We start from the raw sequence: 21,268 nt of genomic DNA, 5'->3' as shown, positions 1-21,268 counted from the left end.
CAATTCTAGGCTATATCTGAATATCAGAATATAAGACAGGCTTATTACATTTTACCAAAATGCATCTCTCTTGACCCTTACATAGTATAGTTGTACTCATTTGAGTTAGCCCTCCACATGTTTTATGGAAGCTGATGAAGATAACTTTTCCTTTGGACAGGAGCACATGATCCAGAATGAAGTGTCTATTTTAAGAAGAGTGAAGCATCCCAATATCGTTCTTCTGATTGAGGAGATGGATGTGCCAACTGAACTGTATCTTGTCATGGAATTAGTAAAGGTGTGTATTTTGGAAAGAAAGTAAGTCTTTATTGATGGCACCGCACTTGCCTATATTCTAGAGCTCTTTCCCTTATTTTCTCCCATCAGTATTCAGGTTCTCATTTCTGTACATTGGCCCAGTGATTAGGAATGTTCACAGGAGAATGGTACACAAGGGCTCAAGTCCCAGCCTTGGCACAAAGAGGCCCATGACTTTGGGTCTACCTCTTTATGTCTCACTTTCAACATATGTAAAGTGAGAATATTAATAATATCTGCTTAATGGTGTTATTGTGGGGATGAAGAGATGGCTTCCACCAGTTTGTGTGACACACAAAGCATTAGGTACCAATACAATTGTCGTTGTTGTAATGGAAAATCATTCACTTTTCCATGAACTATATCCAAAGGTACCAGCCATCTTGTAAAAACAAGCTTTAAACTTTTAGTCACCAACATAATGGGAAAATAGCACTGTCCTAATAATGATGTGAATAGTGTACTGACTTTCAGTGAATGTCGTAATCTCATCCTGTCACATAATATTACCTTCTTATTCTATGAAAACAAACTATCGGGATAGCCAATTGTTGATGACGGTTGAATGGAGATGAAAGGTCTCTTACCTGTTCTCTCTCCTTCCATACATTTGACATTTTCGGGAAGTAGAAGTTTTAAAAAATGGCATGCTTCATTTTCATGAAGCTGTTGTGTTCTCAAGTCTTTTCTAGTATATTCATCAAACTGAACGTGTAAGTAATGTCTACCTTAGTTGGAGAATGTTGTAATTGGTTGCACCGCCTTCTGCATCAGCTGTGAGCACCGCCAGGGGGCGCCTCAGGCTCCCAGGGCATGTTTGGAATCCCTACACTGCTGACTTGAATGTGAGGTTTTCTCTTTTAAAAATTCAAGACGAGGAAAGCATTTAGTAAGCTAATCTGCGATGATATGAAAAATGTTCATTCTAGGGTCTTTAAGTTTTTGTTATTTAGAATTGCTTCACCTTAGACATATTGGCATTTTTTTTAACTTAGTGGTTATTTGTATTTATAGGTGAAATTTATTTTTAGTCTACTTCAAATTAGGACTTGTTTCTTTCTTTCTTTCTTTCTTTTTTTTTTTTTTTTTTTGAGATGGAGTTTTGCTCTTGCTGCCCAGGCTGGAATGCAATGGCACGATCTCGGCTCACGGCAACCTCTGCCTCCTGGGTTCAAGCAATTCTCCTGCCTCAGCCTCCCTAGTAGCTGGGATTACAGGCATGTGCCACCACGCCCGGCTAATTTTGTATTTTTAGTAGAGATGGGATTTCTCCATGTTGGTCAGGCTGGTCTCGAACTCCCAACCTCAGGTGATCCGCCCACCTCGGCCTCCCAAAGTGCTGGGATTACAGGCATGAGCCACCGTGCCCGGCCAGACTTGTTTCTTTCAAAGAATGGGAGCCTTTTTTTAGTAACAAGGGTATTGTCATGTTTGAGGCTGAGGGAGGTAAAAATGTTAAACTGAAAATCCAATAAAGAAAAGTCGGCTGGGCAGTGTCTCATGGGCCAGGCGCAGTGACTCACACCTGTAATCCCACCATTTTGGGAGGCCGAGGAAAGCAGATCACAAGGTCAAGAGATTGAGACCATCCTGGCCAACATGGTGAAACCCCGTCTCTACTAAAAATACAAAAAATTAGCCGGGCATGGTGGCAGGCGCCTGTAATCCCAGCTACTTGGGAGGCTGAGGCAGGAGAATCGCTTGAACCCGGGAGGTGGTGGTTGCAGTGAGCCAAGATCGCGCCATTGCACTCTAGCCTGGGCAAAAAGAGCGAAACTCTGTCTCAAAAAAAAATAAAAAAGAAAAGTCGATTTCATTTGAATAAAGAAAAAATATGAAGATTTTCCCGTTGGTGCTTTATTATTAAATTATCTTTTTACCAACATTGTAAATTATACTTTCCCCAGTACCAAGGAGTCTTTTTACAACAATGTTAATTTTTAAACTAACAACTTCAAGCCATTCTGTTGCCCTTCTATGTGCTGTTAGAATTTGATTACCCCCCGTTATTATTGACTTACCCCCACTGTTGGCTGATTTTTGGAGTGCTGAGACTAAATGAAATTTCAAGATGGCAAAGGCTTAGGCACTCTGAACGCATTTGGTGAGAAATCTTAGTCTGTCAATCGTGTGCTTGGTTAGGAGACTATGGTAAGGTCCTCGTTGCACTTAACTGCCTTTGTGAATTCTCTCTACATCACCAAGATACCCTAGAAAGGCCATAGAAGGTCTCTGTAGCCCAGCGCTGGGACCCTCAATTGTGCTGCAAGACCATACCCTTCGATTTAATCTCACCCAGAACGCCCTGAGGACAGCTCGAGAAGCTTCCCAGGGAAGTGAAGGCCAGCCCCAGGCTTGACTTGAAAGACTCCCAGGACTTTTCCACTGAGACATGTGGGTGGGGTATGCTTCTCAAACCCTCAGGGCCCAGGGATGTCCCAAAGAATGCCTGAAGCTCTCAGACAAACAAGGCTCATGTTCCGGACGGCAGTGGATCGGCAGTTAATGAGAATGAAATTCCATGCTCATCAGGCACAGGACTTTAGCCTTCTGCCTCCAGAGGCGGTGCACACGCAGGCTGCCTATGTGTTCAGAGGAAGGCAGGCCTCGTGGAGGAGCTGGGCCTGCAGCTGGGCCCTGAGAGAGCAACGGGAGTTAGAAAACTGAAGGGGAGGGGATGGGACACTTCAGGAAGGGCGCTGTCATGAGGACAGGCTTGAGGACAGAGATCTTGGCCTGTTTGGATGGCTAGGGAAGAAATATCCTGGAGTGTGAGGGTCACTATGTTAAGTAGTGGCAAGACAGGAAATTAAACAGGGTGGAATGAAGGTTGGGGCAGAATATAGAAAGCCTCCTCCTTTCGGCTGTGGGAAAAGAATGGTGATTTCTTGAAGAGAGAAAGAAAATAGCGACATAATGTGTGGGAAGGTAGCAGTCGGTGTGCAGGATGCTTTGGATAAGGAGCTCACGGAGGGAAGCAGAACGGATTGTGAGACCACATGACAACAACCCAGGGATGAGGCAACAGGAGCGTTTGGCGGAGTAGGAAGGCCCAGATGGCTGCGAAGGAAAAACGTGTCCAAGAAAGGACCGATAAGACCTGTTGACTGCATTGTTGAGGACAAAGAAGAAAGGAGCCAGACGCAGTGGCTCACGCATGTAATCCCAGCATTTTGGGAGGCCAAGGCAGGAAGATCACTTGAGGCCAGGAGTTGGAGACCAGCCTGGGCAACAAAGCGAAGCCTCATCTCTACAAAAAAAATAATAATAATTAGCCAAGCATGATGGCCTGCTCCTGTGGTTCCCGCTACTCTGGAGGCTGAGACAGGAGGATCACTTGAGCCCAGGAGTCTGAGGCTGCAGTGAGCCATGATTGTGCTACTGCACTCCAGCCTGGGTGACAAAGCAAGACCTTATCTCTTATTAAAAAGGACATTACAAGATGCCAGGAGCCCAGATAACTGGGACTGGTGGAATCTTTGCAGGGTCTCCATATACAGCCACACATGCCCTGTGGTGGAACTCCAGGGGTGCTGTTCACATAGACCACGGTGACTGTCCCACCTCCTCAAGTGGCACAGAGACAACCTGAAAACCTGTGTGTAGCAGCCTTACCTTTGAGAGAAGCAGAAAGTTGAAAAAACTATTTGCTTTGAAAAAAAAAATTTGTGTGGTTAGCTTGAGAACCGTTGCAGCTTGGGGGACAGTGAGAGAAGTCTCCAGAGTGGAGACTGTACAGGGGCACAGAGGGCCCAGGCCCGAGAGGCAGATTTGAAAATCATCAGCCTACAGGGGCTATCTTTTGCTTTAGCTATTTTAAAAAGAAAACTGAGTTCCTTAGCGCATTAGGTAACAGATGATCACAGTTGGTTACTGTGCATAGCGGTTTGGTACACTGTAGGCAAGCATGATGCACATATTGATAGTAAATCAGACCCCAATTCTCTGAAAGGATTTTTGAATAAATGGAACTTAGGTTGGAACTTAAAAATCATTCCATTTTACCAAAAAGCAATATATTTAAAAAGGAGCAAAGGAAACAAAAGTTCAGATGAATGACAGTCCTAGAAAACTTTCTTTGAGATTTCCCCCCCTTCCTCCCTCCTTCTCTCACTCAACTTTGAAATGAAGTTTCTGGTCTTTTTCTCTGTTCCTTACAAAGGAGCACAATATTGAAAAAGAAAACACTATGCCCACTCTCAGAGAGCTAAATCTAGTGTATGAAGGGGATTGTGTGTGTGTGTGTGTGTGTGTGTGTGCATCCTAATAATTTCACTAGGCAGTAGAACATTTTCAGTGTGCAGTTTGCAGTATTACCTGTTCCTCACTGGAGGAGGTGAAGGATTACAAATTTGAACTCTGGCTGGCAGTCAATGTGAGGCAGGTAGCACATGCCACTGGGATCTTCACGTGTCACAGTCCTCTGCCCTGGAGATCTAGCTGCATCTCCTCGTCCCCTAGCTGGGATCTGTGGAAATGGCCATGTGTCTGGTGGTGGAGAATCCTCACGCTGCCCCTTTCTTTGAGCTCTGGGGGAGATGCCACTGGTTTTTGTAGTGGGTGGAGAAATCACCATTCAGCCTTCGAGCCTTTGAAAGGAAAGTAGCAGGAAAAGCCTTTAGGAACCCAAAGATTCCACATCCATTCTTCCTGTCCTTTGGGGTTTGTCAATGGCCTCTGCAGGTGGCCCCACTGGCCCGTCTGTTAATGTGCTGCTTCAGCTTCTGTTCTCTTCTCAGGGGGGAGACCTTTTTGATGCCATTACTTCCACTAACAAATACACCGAGAGAGACGCCAGTGGGATGCTGTACAACCTAGCCAGCGCCATCAAATACCTGCATAGCCTGAACATCGTCCACCGTGATATCAAGCCAGAGAACCTGCTGGTAAGAGGAATTCCACCTACAGGGCATCCTGAGTTCCAAGCACTCATGAAGGAATATGAATATTTCTTTTTTCTTTTCTTTCTTTTTTTAAAAATTTACCTGAAAGGTTAATTTCCAGTTAGCCTTCAGGAGCTAGTTGGAAACTAGCCTTTTAGGTTGATCTAGATGAGTTAATGCGCCCTTAAGAACACCTGATTTATTAGCAAACAAAAACCAGGCACAAGAATGGGAATTGAACTCGCGAAGGGTAGGGCTGTATTGAACACCTTGGGCTAGGACAAGATAGCGACAAGTTACACAGACACAAATGTCATTTATCTTAGGCACTTTTATGTTAGAAAGTTTTTACTTGCCAGTTGGGGCAACATAGTGAGACCCCCATCTCTACACAAAAAAAATTTTTTTTAATTAGCCGGACATCGTAGTGTGTGCCTGTAGTCCCAGCTACTCAGGAGGCTGAGGTTGCTGGAGGATCTCTTGAGCCCAGGAGGTCAAGGCTGCAGTGAGCTGTGATCACACTACTGCACTCCAGTCTGGGTGACAGAGTGAGACCCTGTCTTGAAAGAAAGAGAGAGAGAAAAGAAAGAAAAGAAAAGTAAAAAGAAGTTTTTACTTGGGGAAAAAAAAAGGAAGCCCTTTTAGACTTTTTTGGAGTCTCCCAACTTTACAGCTCAATAATATGATCCAAAACCTAAAAGAAAAAAAAATTATAATTGGTTTTTAAGACTCTAGCCCCTTAGCATAAAAACAATTTTGAAAAAGACTAATTTTTAAAAACGGAGACATCCTTCCCCCAACTTTACACTATTTGGTTTGCTTTTCATTTACTCCACATCTCTGGGGAAACCTTGAGAGATCTCCACAAAAGCAAATGGGGGTCCTTCCTCACCCAGTTATTAAGGGGAATACATAGGAAAAAAAGAGGAGGTAGAGACTAAGTATGGGGTGCTTCACTGGGAAATATGGGAGTAATATAAATGTTGCTGGCTCTTCAGGCTGGAATTTAATGAAATATATTTCATTTCTATATACTGTGCATATATATATATATATATACATATATTTATATATATATCTTTTCCCAAAGATGCTAGTTCTTCCTTTCATTATCCACCCCTGAGCATTATGTATAAATATATGAGTTCTGTTACTTTGCCCGTCTCTTCAGAAATCTGGGAAAAGAGGATTCTCTTTCTAAAGTAGTGTTTCTGCAGGGTGGTCTAAAGACTCCCTGAATCAAAATTATTCCCAGATGCCTGTTAAAAATGCAAATTTCTGGGCCTAGATGCAGCCCTACCAAATCAGAATCCAGTGACTGATGACAGCTTGCAGAAATCCACAAGGCAGCCACCTCCCCCAGGTAACCCGCATACACACTCAAGTCTAAAAGCAGATGAGCCACCCAACTCCCATGACACAAATAAAAGCTAGTAAGATCCGCCATGATGGAGAACCATCTATGTACTTGGCCCTGTGCTAACGTCTTTACAGTCATTATCTCGTTTCATCCTCACAGCAACCACATTGGGTAAGTTCTATTACTGTTTCATTTCATAGGTAAGGAACATGGGTACCTAGAAGTTAAATGACCTGCCCACGGTTGTCACAGCTCTTAAGTAGAAGAGCCAAGGTCTCAACCTAATTCTGACTTCCAGAGCCTTAGCTCATACTACTACACTACAGTAAGCTCTGCATTAAGGAGAGGTTAACTGAGTACTTGCTATGTGTCAGGTACTGTGCCAGGGAACAAGAGAGACACATGTCTTCATGAAGTTGACGCTGAAGCAGAAAAGATAAGCATTCAAGAAACAAATATGCACACAATTAGTTAATTGCAATTATGCTGGTAATCTTGTAGCTACTGGCTAATAAAAGGCAGCTGAGGTCAAGTGACTGAGCCCTGACTTAATTGCACCTTAAATTCCTCATCTTCACAGTAGCCTAAACATATTCTTCTGCATAGTTACCTCCATCAACTGCAGCAATTTTCTCTCATCTGCACTCATTTTTCCTGTGTCTTGAATTATGTAGGATTGTCTCATGGGAACAGACTTACAACTGGGCCTTTGTTTAAAAACTTCTCTAAGCTCCCAAACTTCAGCGACTGAAAATTAAAGTTTCATTTTCTTTCCTTTTTGCTTTTGCTGCTCAGTTTTGTGTACCCATTGTTCACTTACTCCTCGCTGAAGTGTTATCTCTTTCTGTAAATGCCATAAGTGATTACATTGGAGTGCACTTTTACTAAAATTACAGTTTACGTGATACTTCTAATGTATTATGCTCATTCAAATATATTTTACTTTAAATTACCACAAAAGAAAAAAAATGTTCTCTCCTTTCTTTTTCCCTTCTCTTCTAATTTAAGAAGCTGAACTATATGGAGAAACAATTGCAGTCATTTATAATGTGGTTTTAAAATATCTATATGAAAAACTAACGAGATTTTATTCTCCTTTACAGTGATTTCTGATGGTAGGGATTAGGGGTTGGTGAATTTTGCAGGGATAAGTCTATTATAGGATAAAATAGTTCAAATAAGTTTAGCAAAACTTAACACAACTTATTCTGTCCTGGTTTAACAAAACTAGGATGATGTCACTAATTGCACATGAGACCACTGTTGATTTCACATTCTATTGAGAGTTGTGGAAATAAGAGAACCATCACAGAAGGTAGACCCTCACACACCCAGGATTTATAGTCAGATGGACAAAAGTTCAAAACCAAGCGGTTCACTCTTCCACTGCCTGGTCTTATGACCTTGAGGAAGGTACCTCCTTCAAGCCTTTATCTTTAAGGGGATTTGATGAAGATAACATAACTATTAATTTTCTTTTGAAAATTTCCCCTTTCTTTGTAATTAAAAATGAAATTAAAGTATTCCTTAAAATAAAACTGCCTAACGATAATATATGTAGTGAAAATCACTTTTTAACCCTTTTTTTTTTATATTGCTTTAGAAATTTTACTATTCACCTGTGCATGGATTTGCCACCTCATGGCAAAATGTAAAGCTATAGACTATTTTTTGAAAATGTTATAATAAAGTTAATATAAAGATTTGGAATCCATTTACTTATTATAGGGAAACTTATCAAATACATAAAAAGACCTCACAGCATACTTTGTTTTACTACGTTATTAAAAGGCTTATAAAACCCTTCTAAATTGTAAGACTGACAACAAGATTTTTGTTAGCTAAGTGTTAGATTAATATTTGTTATAACTAGCAAAGTATTTTTAATACATATCTAATTCAGCTATAGATTTCATTGTACACAGTATAATTGTGTATGTAGAACTTTTAGCGTTTTTTATTTTTAATTCTTATAGAACAGCATAAAAATGTAGCCTGGTCTTAAGGATCTATATTGATTGTATGAATGATTTATTTAACTCTAGTGTTTGGTTGGGTTAAAGTATTTTGATGAGAAAATATGATTTGACTTACAGGGATGTTTTCAGCCACATTTTAGGTGAAAACTGGGCATTGACCCAATAAAAAATACCCCTTATAAATTTATTGTTGTATTTAACTAAAGTTTTTCCCCCCAAATTGATCATGCCCATGATTTTACATGGTTCTTGTTGCTTTACTGGTTGTCATGCCTGGTACTTAATAATTGTATGGACAGGTGGACGTCAGAGTGGATGAGTGGAGTGAGTGAGTGAATGAGTGATACTTCTATGAACAGAGGACAGAGCCGCCTGGCAAGCCCAAAACATTCCCAACTGGCCTGTTAGACGGAGTTCTCACACTGGCCTCAGTGTAAACTTCACTGAGCAGTGGGAGAAAGTATGATGCTTCTCCAGATGGGCTTAGGCATGGGACCACTGTGTATGTATGCGTGTATGTGTGTATGTGTATATGTATGTGTGTATGCATGCCATGATGGTTCATGACTAAAGGAACTTTTTGCTTAATTAAAAAAAAAAAAATTAATACCTTCAGTTTACACAAGTCACCACTAGATGGCAAGCTTGTACCCTTAGCAATAAAAACCATCAGTAGCAGCTTGTGTTTCTTTCAAGGACCTGGGCAGGTCTTTCAAAAATGTGTACACAGATGCCTCCTCCTTATGAAAAGTAAATCTTTACTAACCAAACTATAACTCACATCACTAGTTTTTATTAGATTCCAGAAACAAACATAGTCGTTTTCTTCAAATATAAACATTCAAAAATCTTTTCCCTCCCAAAGTCCCCAAGACCCTGCAGGAGAAAAACTGCCTCTCCTTGGCTAGAAACTCTGTGTTCAAGTGTTTGTGCCTGCTCCCAGCTGCCCATCAAAATGACACGTGCAACTCATGGTCCTTGTTTTCACGCAGTGGATTATATCTAGCAATAAGCTAGTCCTGTTCCACCCAAATGACGATGACAGGTTGTGCTCCAGCTCTTCCTAGTTTTCAATTCCATGCTCACAAGATAACATATTTCCTTCACCTTAATCCCATGACTCTTAATTCTCCAAATAAATCCATTTGGTGATAGGATAGCTAACTGCACTGGTGGACAAGATGAGTGCCACAGAGAGAATGGGTCTAGAGGTCATGGACAAAAACACAGAACTTGAGCCCTCAGAGTGTATTGACTAATGGATTGGAGGTTACCCAAAGGAAGGGAGCCAGTGATCTTCTGTGAGTCTGGCCCCAATCCTGCCCTATTCATCATTACCAGTGACTTCAAATGAAGATGAATTATACCAATGACAGAAGTGAAATCCAAAAATATTTTTGGCTCTATAAAGGTCCAAAACTGGTAAGAAGAAATTAAACAAGAGATAAACATAAATCCCTAGAGACTAAGTTAGTTTTGGTGTAGTTGTGTTATTGTCAATTTCAGAAACAGTAATGGAATACTTGGCCTGACTGCAGGTCAAAAGGCTATTAGTTGACCTGGAGAAGGCTGTTCGTTCAGTGTGAGTCTCAGTATGACAAGCCTGCTAAAAATATTCATATGCCCTTAGACTTCTTTCCCTGAAAGAGTCAGGAGAGTCCTTGGTGTGGCTTACCATGGTACCCCTTATGGTAATACTCTGAACACATTCTGTCTGGGCCTGGGGTTGACCCAGAGAAGGGATGTACCACTTGGGGCATGGTGATTCTCATCAAATATAGGAAAGGCTGCCACATGGAGGACGGGATAACTTTCTTGTACTGTATATGACAGCATGGAACTAAAATTAAAGAGAAGATATTAGTGGGCAAGAGATTTAGGGTTAACTTTAGAAAAACTTTTTAATAATCTAATTTCTTTGAAATTTAAATGTCCTTTATTACTGGTAGCTTGTAGTCATTGTGAGTGTCCGGGCAGAAACTGAACGATCCTTTTTTTGGGGGTGTTTAGAAAAAAAATTCTACTCTCTGAATTTGCATGGAAGTTGAGGGAAAATAGAAGACGCAACATTTTCCCAAAGCATTATTTAGTACCGTAATTGGCCAGTTACTGTACTAAGTGTTTACTGGGCCTCTTGTTCAAAGACCTGTGATTTCATCAGGGAGATGAGGACAGGAAGGAAAAGGTATCCCTTTAAGAAGACATTGATTTTCACCTTGTGTCACCTTGGTGGGTCTGTGTTTGTCTAATTCACTGCTCCTTTCTGCTGTCATTAAGAGATGACACTCATTTCTTTCTAAAATGGCACAGCCTTATCAGACTAGCAAAAATTAAAAATAACATACAATGATGGCAAAGTTAAGAGGATAACAGTTATCTCATATGTGTTGGTGGGAGAGTCACTTGGTGGAACCTGTCAGAGAGGCAATTTGGTAATATATAACCAAAACCTTCAATAACATGTGTGCCTTGTGACCAAGTAATTCTACTTCTAGAAATGTAACCTAAGAGGAAGAAACTGGATATGTAGCTATCCAGAGGGATGTTCACATCAGGGTTTTGCAGTATGAGGAAAAAAAACCCAAACGGTATATATGGAGATAAGTTATCTCAGGGCACTGATGAATTAAATAGTGGCACAATGGTGGTTAGACCACCAGTAGTGGCAGGACATCCTGGTTAGACTCTTGGACTCAGACATATCTGAGTTTAAGTTCTGGCCCTGCCACTTATTTGCTGTGTAACACTGGGTAAATTACTTTACATCTTCGAATCTCAATTTTCTCATCTGCAAAATATGAGTAAGAGTGCTAAATTAATAGGGCTGGTATGAAGATCAAATGGGCCAAAATGCACATGAAGTCTTCATCACAATGCCTGGTATGTCCTGTGTGTACAATAAATGACAGTGGTAATAGTAACTGTTGGGATTACTAATATGGTGCCATATGGAATATCCTGCAGCCACTGAGAGTAATTGTATAGATATATGCGATTCACTTCGGAAAAACATTCAGGATATGTTGTTCAATGGAAAAAGAAGGATAGGAAGGAGAGAAAGAAAGCTCTGGAAGTCCATGTCCCAAAATATGAACAGTGTTTATTTCTGAGTGTCAAGATTATGGGTGAGTTTAGTTCCTTTTCGTCTATAGTGATCATTTTCCTACTATGACATATTGGATAATAATTGTGTGACAGAAATGTAATAACGTTTTTTAAAATTGCAGTGGCATTGAGTTCCCACAGTTTTGGCAAAATCCTGGGATGTATAATTCCTAACAGAATCCGGAATGTGCATGTTTTGTGTATCTCGCTGCAGCTGCATAGAACTCCTTTTAAGATAGTTTCATGACTATTTTAAATTGAGGGTGAGAATCAGGTTTCCTGGAGTTTCCGTTCACTTCTCCATCTTCCCAGATATCTCCAGTGTAATATTGAAGAGCAATTTTACTTTTTCGTTTAATTACCTCTCTTCTGACTTACTCCTTTCTAACATCTGCACAACATTCATTATTTTTATTATTTCATTTAATTTTTGATTTCATAAATATTTTACATGTAGGTATAAATTTTTTTATTATGTTTTTCCAGGAGATTTAATTCAAAAGTACATGGGCCATAAAATGCATTCTATAAAATAACTCCCTGCTTAAATGTTGTTATATTTCATTTCTTAAAGATTAAAGATTTAAATTTAAGCCATTTTCCTCAGAAAGCATCATAAAGGCCATATACCGTAGCAAGAGGAAAATCAATGTCTTTTTAAAGGGATACCGTATATGTTAAAAAGTAAATTGACGTTTTTTCATGGCTTTGTCAATTTCATGCCACTTTTGTTCAATTCTATTTGGTGAAATAATTTTTAGTTCCTACTGAGCTCCTCTGTGAAATAGTTTTCAGTGGTTACTAATAATTCATTAGCCAACGTTTCATCAGGGTTACCCTTGGATTCGTAGAAACACTGAGAATTACGTTTGTTCCAACACATCTGTTACATTAGTCAGCTTTTAGTGCCATATTATGGGAATCTCAGAAACCTTTTGACTGGGTTCAGGTTATCTGTGAATTTTCATATTATTTTATGGCCACCAGCTGCATTTTATGACTATATATTAAATGTTTTATTTTTTCAAATAATTTTTCCAAATGGTCTCAGTTTCCCATCCAAGGGAAATCAAGCATATGCCTAAAGATCTACTGTTCAGTAAGTTGTAGCTAATGCAAAACCCCAAATAAACAAAAAAGAAACAAAAATAAAACCCTCCTTTCAAAAACAATCCTGTGCAAAATACCAGTGTGCCCCAAAATCTACATACCTGACCTTTCGTTATATCTGTTCTTGGTTGGATATGCCTTCAGGTTTTAATTGGAACCTTTTTCATAATTGTTGCCATTTAACACATTTAGTCTGTCAAATCATAGGATGTCTTTATAGCCATATAATAAACCCTAGAGAACAACTTCTCCGACTGTAGCCATCTGCAATGATCCCAAGAGTAGCTTACAAAATACTGACAGTCTTTATGGTAATATGATACATATGGCAGCCCACAATTATGTGTAGCTGCATTCAATTAGTGTTGTACAATTACACAGTTTTATTGCTTAGTTAAAACAGTGAAAGCACTACATACTGGGTAATTTGCACTAATCCCTGTCCCTTTAATAGCCCCTCAGTGTTTAAAATGTGGGGGAACATCTATAGTACTTAAAGGACCAGGGATGAACATTAAATCATACCTCATGTTGTGAATACTCCTTGACTGACAATTAATGTACTCCCACTTCACGTGTGGGTCACATTTTATAGAGGCTTTAAAATACAGTTATGGCAAAAAGTTCTTACACCACAGCTCCACTAGCTGGACCAGCCTGTCCAAGCCTGCGCTTGCAGCCTGCTCATGCCCTTTCTGAAAGATGGTCAGAATAAGGAGGAACGCCAAGTAACAAGTCAATCCAGAGAGCAGTCTAAGCCAAGGATTTGGCATTTTCAATGTGAACTTGTTAGAAGCCTTTCTGATTTCTAACTTTTAATTAAAAATTTAGTTCAAAGTGGATTTATGGCTGCCATTTGGAATAATACTTTCTGGAGATGGTTTTGTGAGGCTGTGTGTGTGTGCGTGTGTGCGCGCGTGCAGGCTTTAAATGGGTGTATTTAGCAATCTGTGAATTTTTAACAAACGTTTAATTATATTTTCACATGGCCTCAGTCATGCCCCTGTGTAACTGGCTCAGTAAGAGATAAGGGTGCACGTAGCTCAGGCCGTAGCAGGTGCTAATGAAGAGTCCCCGTTGAGAGAGGGCTTCTTAAACCACTGAGGGAAGGGCTCTCCCACTGGAGAAGAAACACTGAAGTATATTCTTCTCCATCCTCCTCCCAAAGTGTTGACAGAGAAAAAAAACAGAGTGACCTTGTTTCCTGCCCTGCCTGACAGTGAGTTAAACAGAATTCCAAACTAGAGGACTGGACATTTATTCACCTGCAAAAACATTTTTTTTTTGCAGCATTTCAAATGTACTTGTGTCTAGATATGGTTTCAATTACATGGAATTGGCCTTTGTCTTTAAGCTCTTATTTTCTCTCCTGAGTGTCCCTTGAACCTCTTTATGTTCACAAAAATCCTACTGTGTGGTTTTTAAAGCAAAAAAAAAAAAAAAAAAAGCGGGGCGGGGCACTGTGCAAGTGATTAAAAGACCATTGTACAGGGAATAAAAAGAACATCACAATTATGGTTCTATGTATTTCAATGGTTTTCATTTTCGTAGACTTATTATTACTTTTAATAATCATTTTGTATTAGTACTCATTTTCTTTATTTTAAGGAAGATTTTTAGTGATTTTTTCTTAGTTATTGAAACTTTGAACTATATTTTTCATTCATATTAAATATAATTGGTCTATGGCTATATGTTAGATGGAATTTCTATTAAAATGTAGATGTTCGAAAAGAAAACTTTTCCTACATATAGGAGAATTACAAGGTCATATTTAGAACTAAAATGGGACTTATGACTGAATCCACCAACATCTGCTTTTGTCAAACTTTTGAGTACAGTTAGGTGGTGTAGATACTGTGTTTAAGAAAAAAGCTACAAAATTCCTGCATCAAGTGGGTTGAATAAATTACAATCTGCATCACCTCACAAAGCACACAGAATGAATGTTTGGACCTAGCAGAACATCAAAGCAGGAGATTATTTTGCATTTTAGAAAGGTTATTGTTAACAAAATGGAATTAAGGAAGTAAACAATTCTGCTCTGCCTCGGAAATCAACGAGACCATCTACTAGATGTTTCCATCTCAGATTTCTTTTCATGAAAAACATTTGCTTGTCATTTGGATGACCAGAATGGCTGACGTGGTAAGACTACAACTTAGGGTTTTCTTTTGCCTAAGAACAGTTAGGCTGGGGCCGATGTTGTGTTTTGCAGCTGTGATGCCTCAAAGTTTTTAACTTAACTCTAAGTGACCAAGGCTGGACAGCTGCTTCATTAAGTTAGGAAGAAAATGTCCGTCCCAGATGACAGCTGGGCAAAGCCACATCTGTGAGGGACATATGGCTGTTTTTGCCCTAACAACCCAATCACAGGTGACCTCACAAATCTTCGGATACCTGCCAGAGGGCAGCCCAAACTTGATCCTGATCAACAGCTCCTGGGAATAAGACTCCATGCTATGAGTGTGGAGAAAACGTAAAAGAATATTTTCTGCTCAGAAAAGATGCAGTCTTTCAGATAGGTGGATCTGACTGCCTGCTTCTGCCAAAACTGTTGGATCCAGGTGATCATTGCTGATATTGCAGCTTAGCTGGCCAAACATCTGCATTTTGTGTTGCAGTGAAACGCAAAGTTAATCTACTTTTTCCAAAGGAAGGCAGACGTGACGTGTGAACAGTAGCGGTGCCCCTGATGTGTGGAGATGTGCCTTGCTGTGCAAAAGATTCAAACTACTGCAGCAAGTAACAGATGATCACAGAGTGAGAACAGGAGAATATGCAAGCCTCGGCTTGCTGGATCAAGTATTTTGATGTACATGGAAAACTTAGCTGCTTCCTTGAGGCATTCGTGAAGATTGCCCTTGCTGGAATTACTAGCCTTTTACTGTGGTTTTCTTTTCTTAATCTTATTCATTCCAACAGAGGGGACTCAATTAGGATTCTGAACGCCCTTTCATCTTTTCTTTGAAATAAAATAAGTTATTTGGGATACTTTTTAGAGCAGCTCCATTTGTTTTGATCGTGGCTGGAATTAAAGGAGTATAAATACTTGCCTACAGTCACATGCATCCTTTTCTTGATTTGTTGGGTGAAAGAGAGAAGATTTTTACTGCCTTAATAAGGGAAACCTGGACAGGATGCTGACTCTGCACCTGATAAATCTTTCCAAATTGCCACAGGTGAAATGAAATGTTAATATCTCTTTCAATTATTAAGAAATGTAAATAGATCATGTTGAAAATACGAGGCACTGAAAATAAAGTATTTTACTATAAGTATAGTTTTTTTGTATTTAGTTACTAAAGAATTGCATTTTTAAAGTTTCTTTCTTTTTTTTTTTCAGACAGATTTTCGCTCTTGTTGCCCAGGCTGGAGTGCAATGGCTTGATCTCAGCTCACTGCAACCTCCACCTCCCGGGTTCAAGTGATTCTCTTGCCTCAGCCTCCTGAGTAGCTGAGATTACAGGTGCCCGCCACCACGCCCAGCTACTTTTTGTATTTTTAGTAGAGACAGGGTTTCACCATATTGGCCAGGCTGGTCTTGAACCCCTGACCTCAGGTGATCCACCTGCCTTGGCCTCCCAAAGTGCTGGGATTACAGGCGTGAGCCACAGCTCCCGGCAAGTTTTCTTAATATATTGAAACAAAGAGATTATTTTCATAAATCGGAGACACTGCACTAGGGACTTTCTATACTTCATTTTATTATGCAAATCAGTTTTAATTATAGACAACATCAAAGACAGATAAACAAAAGGATTAAGAAAACCTGTAATCCTACCACCAAGAGACAGATACATCGGCACTGTGTTCTTTCAGACTTTTTCTTTTTTTTTTGTATGTACTTTTTTTCTTTAATGGACATTTTATAAAAACCAATCTGAAAATTGCTCTGCTCATTTCCCAAACATAATTCAATAACTATAAACCTGTATCGCCATTTTAAGGTCATGTAACCTCTCGTTGTATGAATGTACTATAATTTATTTAATCAATTTCCATTTGTTAGGTGTTCACCATGATTCCAGTTTTGCAGTAATCTAAAGGAAGTAAGCTATTTTGTATGTATATCCATTCTTGCATAATTGCCTAATTTATTTTTTACCTCCTATACATTAAATTTAAACACAGTGTTCCTCATTTCTTCAAGAAAGGGCTTTTGAGCTCTTGGTTTTCAGACAATTGTGATTTTTACCTTTGTTTTAGGTGTATGAGCACCAAGATGGCAGCAAATCACTGAAGCTGGGTGACTTTGGACTGGCCACCATTGTAGACGGCCCCCTGTACACAGTCTGTGGCACCCCAACATACGTGGCTCCAGAAATCATTGCAGAGACTGGGTAAATGCTTCTCTTATGTTTAAGTGCTATGCTTGCAAAAGAACTAGCCCGCTTCGAGAATAGGAAAAATAGTACTGCTGTGCCCTATCCAGACATAATTAGCTATCAGGTTTCTTCCACTCTTTTTAAAATTGTATTTTATTCTTTAACATTTACAGTGGGAGCCATTTTCTCTGTTTTCCCAATCTGTTTTGTCAATTACTGCAATCTTAAGGCTTCCATTTGGTCTTTGTTAAAGGTAGAACAGAAGTTATTAACCCCAGAGTAAAAAATGTTCAGACTAACAGAAACACACAGCGATGGTAATTAACTCTCATTTGGAGATAAAAGAAACAGACACTGCCGTGTGCGGTGATTACAGTCTCCTGCAGTTATTTCTCTCTGCTGCCCTTATCCTCCAGTCCAGGTCCCATTTGGGACCTCTTGGGGATCCATTGATTTTCCGTGGAGTACAAACACCCTTAGGCATCAGGGACCATTGGGAATTTCCTGGTTTCTGTGTGCAGAATCAGATGAATGTGGGGAGAAGGGTGGGGTAGCCTATTCCTTACTAAGACCCCACAATATGCTAGGCCTGAAACTCCTTTACTTCTTACTCTTCCAGTCGATGGTTTGATTCCCATTTTGCACTTCAATAAATTGAAACTCTAATGGGTTAGATACCATGCAAGCTCATGATTAGTTTTAGTGGTTGAGTCAGGATTTGAACTCAGGTCAGCCTGAGTCAAAGACTCCTTTGGTAAGAAGCCCTATTTCTTACCAAGGGCCATAGGCAGGCTCTGAGGTGCCATCCTTAAGCAGAAGGAATAACAGGGTGGGGCACTGAGGGGAGGCAGCCCTACTTTTTCTTCTCATTAGCAGTTTCAGTCCACAGCTGGGAATCTAGGTGGCACTCTCCCCTGTGACCAGTTGGAGATAGTTTTTCGAGGTTTTGTTTTGTTTTGTTTTTTGCTTGTACCATAGACCACAAGGGCAGAAAAACCAAATAGATGAGAAGGGAATCCCAATAGGGAAATTCCTGAGGCGAGATGTGAGGGAATGAGGACTTTGCTACTTGGCAAATTTGAATGAGGTGGGAGCCCACATCCATAGCCTTGTCTGACCTCCCTCAGGTGGGGCTGCCTGGGGCACAGACACACTTTCTACTGGGACATGCTCTGCTTGCTGCTGGGAGGAAGTGGTGGGTCTTGAAGACCATATTGGGGACCAGCTCTGACACTAACTGTGTGATCTTAAGCAAAATTACTCACCCATCTGAACCTGTTTTCTCTCTTCTGTACAATAAGCAATACTTGTCTTGTCCAACCTACAGAGTTGCTAGGAAAACAAAGTACGATCATGTATGTCAGTGCTCTATAAATTGGAAAACGTTCTAGAAATAATTATTATTCCTAAAGTGAGGGAGTTTATCTCAAGGGTCCATCCTTATCTCAGAATTGTTATTACTATAATAAACCTTTTTGCTGAAAACCTTCATTTACTGATATTTACAAATAAGTCCAGCAATGCATTCCTTTGATTTTTATTCCTGCACCTTGGTCTTTTTTAAAATTATTATTTTTTAAACTTTTTCTTTGAACTCTGTTTAGGTGGTGGGTTTTAGTTTAGCGTTTGTTGTTGGGATTGTTATTTTGTTTGGTTTTATTTTTGGCTTGGAGGAGGAAAGTCATTGATTTTACCAAGCTGCATAATTTGTCCGAGCCTGACCCTCCTAACTCTAACATCCCTTATTTTTCCAGATACGGCCTCAAGGTGGACATCTGGGCAGCAGGTGTAATCACTTATATCCTGCTGTGTGGTTTCCCTCCATTCCGTGGGTATGGGCAACAATCTTTTATTCAGCGCCGACAAAGCATTTCTCTACTCTCTGAGTGATCCATTAGCCCTTCTTGCACAAAGGAGCCTGCAGCAGGAAAAGAGCACAAGAACTTTACTTGCAATCCCTGTTATTTTTTCCCTGTTATGTCATGCATGCTAATTTATATGCCTTCCATATTTCTTCCCCATATCATTAAAAACTCATTCTTTCTTTTTTTTTTTTTCTTTCTGGTTTTGAGACAGAGTCTCTCTTTTGCTCAGTCTGGAGTGCAGTGGCACAGTCTCAGCTCACTGCAACCTCTGCCTCCCAAGTTCAAGCAGTTCTCCTGCCTCAGCTTCCTGAATAGCTGGGATCACAGGCGTGCGCCGCCACACCAGTTACTTTTTGTATTTTTAGTAGAGATGGGGGTTTCACCATGTTGGCCAAGCTGGTATTGAACTCCTGACTTCAAGTGATCTACCTGCCTCAGTCTCCTGAAATGCTGGGAATACAGGTGTGAGCCGCCGCACCCGGCCCAAAAACTCTTTCTTAATTTACCAAAACAGATCCACATTGACATTTTTCAATCGATTAAAAATACACATTTTTACACATTTATGGGGGGAAAGGAAGGGCTCCAGTGCCTAAGACTGAAAAGATGTACACTGAGTTGATATCTTAGTGCTGTTTTTCCTTGTTGTCGTTCACCTAAACAGAAGTGGTGATGACCAGGAGGTGCTTTTTGATCAGATTTTGATGGGGCAGGTGGACTTTCCTTCTCCATACTGGGATAATGTTTCCGATTCTGCAAAGGTAGGTGTCCAGTGCCTTCCTCTTCCCTATATTCTGTGTGTCTTAACGGAATTATTTTTCCAAATCATTGTGTGCAAAGAAACTAATGACATCATAAGTATGATTTCTGTACACATTTTAGTTGTAATTGCTAGGTTTTCCAAGATTTCACAGTCATCAAGTCATCTGTTCCCAGACATCCCAACAAGTACTTATCAAGTGTCTCCATCTGCTGCCTTCATCTCTCTCAGGTGCCATTCCAGTGACATTGCTATAGCCTCTTGCTGTGCCCCACCCTCGCCAGGCTTGAGCCCAGCTCAGATTTCTATATGGCCTGTGGTTTCACCTCTCTCAGCTCTTGACTTAATGACTTAATTTCCCAGTGAAGCCTTCCCAGACCATCCTGGTTCCAATTGCATCTCTTAAACCTTACCTGGCTTGCTGTATCCTACTTGTCTGTTTTATTTTTCTCCAGAACACTTAACACCTGTGTGTCCATCTGGTGTGCTATCTAACTACCTATCTCTCTACCCAAAAAAAGATAGATATAAATAAGTAGGCATGTCTTCTTTATATAGTTCATTTCCAGACTCTCTCCACTAGAATGCAAATTCTGCGAAGGCAGGGATTTTTATCTATTTTGTCCATTGCTGTACTATCCCTGCCTAAAGTATGACCAGCATACTGGTGCTCAATGTATACTGAATAAATGAACAAGTATATGAATGAATCCATCAATTAATCAGAAGGAAGAAAACTCAACCTCAACGTAGGTTGAAATCATCAAGAAAGACTTTATGGGGAAGCTATGATTTAAGTTGAACCTTGAATAATAGCCAGGATTTAGAGGCAGAGGGGGAGGAAAACACAAGGTTCATTGTTTTTATCCCATGAAACTAAAAGATCAGTCCTTAACATGGATGAAGGTGATGGTTGCACAACAATGTGAATGCACTGAATGTCAGTGAACTGTGCACTTGAAAATGGTTGAAGTGGTAAATTTTATGTATATTTTACCACATTAAATAATATTTATGATAAATCAACTTCTAAGAAGGCTATAAAAATCTTACATTGAGATGTTTGTAGACCTTGAGGAGAAAAAGGAAAACCTTTTCATTGCTCTTTTTAAAATTTATGTCTCCGAGTGCTGACTTAAATGTTTAAAAATTTGAGAAAAATGTTCTCAATAATTATCTTGAGAAATAATTATCTTTTGATTGCTCAATGTTTATGCCTTTGCTTTTGTCATGTCCTGAATGTGAGTTCCCTTTAAAAGCCAACCCCTCAGACATGACCACTTTGTGTAGAAAATGATGCATATTGAGTGCAAGTCTCTCATTTTCTTCAACTGTCCAGGAAGCTGCCAGAAAGGGAGTGTCAGAGAAAGGCGCAGGCTAAAGGAGATGGGACGATACAGCTGCAGGGCCGGGGGCTCTTCAGGAACCTGTCCAGCTCCCCATGCCATCACTGCAGGATCTGAGGGCTCACAGTTACTGACAAATAGGACCATCTCCTACACCTCCATAGCACCTGCAAAGGGCATCACACACAGCAGATACTTTCACGAGTTCTGATCCAAGTTAGAAACTGAATGA

At 40.1% G+C, this 21,268-nt stretch overlaps 1 protein-coding gene across 6 annotated transcripts in view; it reads left to right on the top strand.

The window, feature by feature from the left end:
* Window positions 1-21,268, top strand: part of DCLK1 (doublecortin like kinase 1) — a 363,288-nt gene that overhangs the window by 304,025 nt on the left and 37,995 nt on the right. For all 6 annotated transcript variants that reach the window (NM_001330072.2, NM_001330071.2, NM_004734.5 and 3 more), the window contains 5 exons: window positions 161-280; window positions 5,040-5,186; window positions 16,947-17,080; window positions 18,820-18,897; window positions 19,595-19,691. In NM_001330072.2, the coding sequence (NP_001317001.1) occupies window positions 161-280; window positions 5,040-5,186; window positions 16,947-17,080; window positions 18,820-18,897; window positions 19,595-19,691 (576 nt within the window). The remainder of the gene's footprint in view (window positions 1-160; window positions 281-5,039; window positions 5,187-16,946; window positions 17,081-18,819; window positions 18,898-19,594; window positions 19,692-21,268) is intronic.

The sequence above is a fragment of the Homo sapiens genome, chromosome 13 (genome assembly GCF_000001405.40).
Source record: "Homo sapiens chromosome 13, GRCh38.p14 Primary Assembly".
NCBI classification, from domain to species: Eukaryota; Metazoa; Chordata; class Mammalia; order Primates; family Hominidae; genus Homo; species Homo sapiens.
Note: the sequence above shows the minus strand (reverse complement) of the source record. Positions and strands in the feature narration are given on the sequence as shown.